The following is a 4,256-nucleotide window of genomic DNA, read 5'->3' on the forward strand; positions in this document are numbered from 1 at the left end:
AGAAGTGAGACACAGGAGTCCCTGTGTTCGGGTGGATATGAAGGTGTTACAGCACAGTAGTTATGACGCAGATTTTAGCATTTGGGAACCAGCATAGCACAGACTTGGGACTGGAATCCTGTTCTCCAGCTTATCAGCTGTTGCCTTTAGCAAGGCATCTGACCTCACTCCACCTCAGTTTCCCTGCTTGCCATGTAGGAAAGAGTTTCTGACATGAAAAAGTTGTTATAAGGATTTGTATTTGTATATCACTTAGAACTAAAAAGCAAATGCTGTTTTACCATGTGTTATCTGAATGAGTTGGAGCAAAATTAGTTTATTCAACTGTAAAATAGGTAACTTGTACATCTCAGGATAATGAAAGTTATACACATACATATATATATATAAATATGTCACATACACACACACACACTGAAGGAATTCAGAACATGCCACCCCAAAATATGTTGCCCTGGCATATTGACTATTCTGAGTTAAAGGAACTTGAAAAACCGCAGATCCAAGAAGGACACTCTGATCTTCCTTCCATCTCTCAAAAGAGAGAGATGAAGGCCGGACGTGGTGGTTCATGCCTGTAATCCCAGTACTTTGAGAGGCCAAGGCGGGCGGATCACCTGAGGCCGGGAGTTCGAGACCAGCCAGACCAACATGGAGAAACCCCATCTCTACTAAAAATACAAAAGTAGCCGGGCGTGGTGGCACATGCCTGTAATCTCAGCTACTCAGGAGGCTGAAACAGGAGAATCACTTGAACCTGGGAGGCAGAGGTTGTGATGAGCCGAGATTGCACCATTGTACCGTTGCACTCCAGCCTGGGCAACAAGAGTGAAACTCCGTCTCAAAAAAAAAAAAAAAAAAAAAAAAAAGAAACAGTTCTCTAATTTGAGAACTGTCCCCGCTATACCAAGAGAAAGGAAACATTCTTATCATGGAGGACAGGAAATTGAGACCAAGAGAATTCTGTGCAAACAGATCCTTGTTAAAATAAGTCTTATCTTCCTTTAGCCTTGCCACCATTGCCCTTTTTTTGTTCAACCTAGTATAAGAGCGTTTAGGTTTTGCCAGGTCTTTGAGTCTTCATTTCCTAATGAGGTCTCCTGTGTCTTATAAAATTTATATTTAAAATTGGTATGCTTTTATCCTGTTAATCTGTCTTAAGCCAAATTAATTCTCAGGCCCAGCCAGAGACCCTAAGACAGCAGAGGCAACAAAGTTTTGCTTCCCCTACAATATATACCATATATAAACACACATACATACAGAGATGTGTATGTGTATGAGGGTGTGTGTGTTTGTGTGTGTGTGTGTGTAAAATACATTATATAAATACAGTCATTGGCCACCTAATGATGTTTCAGTCAACAACAGACTACATATATGACAGTGGTCCCACAAGATTATAATGAAGCTGTTATTGTCCCTGGACAGGGGGACAGTAATTTTGTTGATCTCAACCCGGTGTAGGGCTAGGCTAATGTGGGTGTTTGTATCTTGGGGTTTTTTTTTGTTTTTTTTTTTAATTTGAGACAGAGTCTTGCTCTGTTGTCCAGGCTGGAGTGCAGTGGCACCATCTCGGCTCACTGCAACTTCTGCCTCCTGGGCTCAAGCAATTCTCCTGCTTCAGCCTCCTGAGTAGCTGGGATTACAGGCAGGCACCACCACGCCTGGCTAATTTTTATATTTTTGGGAGAGACAGGGTTTCACCATGTTGATCAGGCTGGCCTCAAACTCCTGACCTCGTGATCCACCTGCCTTGGCCTCCCAAAGTGCTGGGATTACAGGCATGAGCCACCACGCCTGGCCTGTATTTTACTTTTTAATGAAAACGTTTAAAATTTTTTTAAAGTTAATAGAAAAAAATACAAAGATCTAAATAAAGTATTTTTGTACGGCTGTACAATCGGTTTGTGTTTTAAGCTAAGTGTTCTTACAAAAAGTTTATAAAAGTTACAGTAAGCTAAGGTTAATTTATTATTGAAGAAAAAAATATGATTGTATGAATTTAGTGTAGCCTAAGTGTTTGGTGTTTATAAAGTGTATACTCTGCACAGTCATGTCCTTGTCTTTCACATTCAGTCACCACTCACTCACTCACTCACTCAGAGCAACTTCCAGTCCAGTAGGCTCCTTTTATGATTAGTGCTTTATACAGGTGTACCATTTTTTATCTTTTATACGATATTTTTACTGTACCTTTTCTATGTTTATATATGCTTAGATACATGAATACGTACCATTGTGTTACAATTGCCTACACTATTCAGGACAGAAAGATGCTGCAGAGATTTTTAGGCTAGGAGCAATAGGCAATGCCATATGGCCTGGCATGTAGTAAGCTCTGCCACCTAGGTTTGTGTAAATACACTCCATGATGTTCACACAATGATGCAGTCACCTAATGACGCATTTCTCAGAACATTTCCCCATCGTTAAGCAACACATAACTGCATGTAAACGGCTTGACGCAGCATCTTACACCCAGCAAATACTCAAGTGGCTAAATGGTAAGCTCTAAGACAAGCTCTATCTATATACCTATGTATGTATCTATCTAATTTATATAATTTTATTTTATTAATATTTAGTGGGAAATGAGAGAGGAGATAACATAATTTTTACACATTAAAAAAAATTTGTGCTAAGCCCCTATTATGTACAAGGCACTGGGAATTCGATAATGAAAATGACAAGTGTGGCCACTGACCTCAAGGGTACTTATAGTCAGTCTTTCTGGACTGGGCAGATGAAATACAGATATGTTCAGATACAGAAGACTGGGGGAAAAGAAACTTGGTGGAAAAATGTATTAGGTCAGTTAGGGGCATATGAGGGTAAGAGGAGGAGTTGACAGGAACATACTCAGGTTTGAAATTTAGAGTGGGGGAATTGGATTTATTATAGATTTGGAGGTTATCAGGAGTTGGATGGTGGAAGATGAGATCACCCAGATTGAACAAGTGTAGTGAGACGCAATTCTAGCTTAAAAACAGAACTCTTGATAACTCAACCATTTTAAAATGCAAATAAAGAAAAGGATCCAATGATGATACTGAGGGGGAAAAAAAGTTGAAAAAATAACAGATCCAAGATTCTACAAAAAATACAGACAGAAGGGCAGAATAATCAGGGTCATGTGGTTGCAGCCTAGGAAAGCAAAGACATTTATCCCAGCAGCCAAGAGAGTCACACAGGTTTTGTTACATACTTGATTTTACAGCAATTTAAAAAGCCAGACTTTGAGACACTTCCTATATCACGAGGCTCTTGCTGTCCAGCAGAATCTCATTTCCTGAAATTTGTGCACATTTGGCTCCTAATAACTCCTCATTTTATAGTTTACAAAGAGCTCTCTCACATCTTGACTAGGCCTCACCACTGAGAATCAGGCAAGGTCTGATCATTATCTCCACTTACAGATGAGGAGGAAATGGGTTGAGAGAGGCAAAAGCATGTGTCTGAGGTCTTGCAGATTTATTGACATCCTGCAACACACTCGCTATTCTCTCCCTGACCCTGGCCTTGGAGAATTGTGTCTTCTGAAATATATTCTCAGAAATTATGCTCTATACCGGATCTTAGAGGGGCATTTTGGATCCACATAACCCATGACATATGGAACATTAACTTCCTTAAATCTTTTTGGAAGTGAATAAATAGCAAAATGAGTAGGGAATTAAAACAGATATTGGGGCATTTTCACAGTGATGGAGAGACAAAGGCAGATAAACACATCCCTTTGTGTCATTACATCCCATCCTCTCCTCCTACCCCCCAAAGACAGAGCAATTAGGCTGAGTTTCCAGGGATTGCCTGGCCTGTGTAGGTGCTGCGCACCCTCCATCCAGTGACCCAGTACAAATGCCGTCTCTCGCAGCTTCACAGACCGCTGCTGCTGACTTAGGCCTCGGCTCTGACTCTGGTTCCCTTCCTCCTGCCTTTCAGTCAGATTTTCCCATTTCCGAAGTCAACAGCTTCCCCAAAGCAATGGGACACAGGACGTCATAACTCAGACGCCAAACAGCAGGAGCCAGGAGGGAGGGAAGAAAGGAACACAATGGAAATGGGTCTGCAGAGGCTGCGCAGAAGGAGGACTGGAGTGGGAGTCTAGGGGAGATTAAAGCAAGTGCGTGACGCTGAGCATTGTTGGGCACAAAAGCCACTGTGTTTGGTGTCCAGTTGATATCTCATGTTTAAAGTCCGGGGTGTATGCACAGAAGGTGGGATTTAGAATCTGGACAATCAGACTAGGGGGT

General features: G+C 41.4%; 1 annotated feature.

Annotated features, from left to right (window-relative positions):
- Nucleotides 3,449-3,949: an enhancer, noted in NCBI's record as "H3K4me1 hESC enhancer chr20:38891152-38891652 (GRCh37/hg19 assembly coordinates)". NCBI's record gives its function as "activates a minimal SCP1, AML or CMV promoter by ChIP-STARR-seq in naive H9 embryonic stem cells {active_cell/tissue: H9 hESC(naive)}" and the evidence as "EXISTENCE:reporter gene assay evidence [ECO:0000049][PMID:30033119]".

This window comes from Homo sapiens, chromosome 20 (assembly GCF_000001405.40).
Source record: "Homo sapiens chromosome 20, GRCh38.p14 Primary Assembly".
In the NCBI taxonomy this organism is placed as follows: Eukaryota; Metazoa; Chordata; class Mammalia; order Primates; family Hominidae; genus Homo; species Homo sapiens.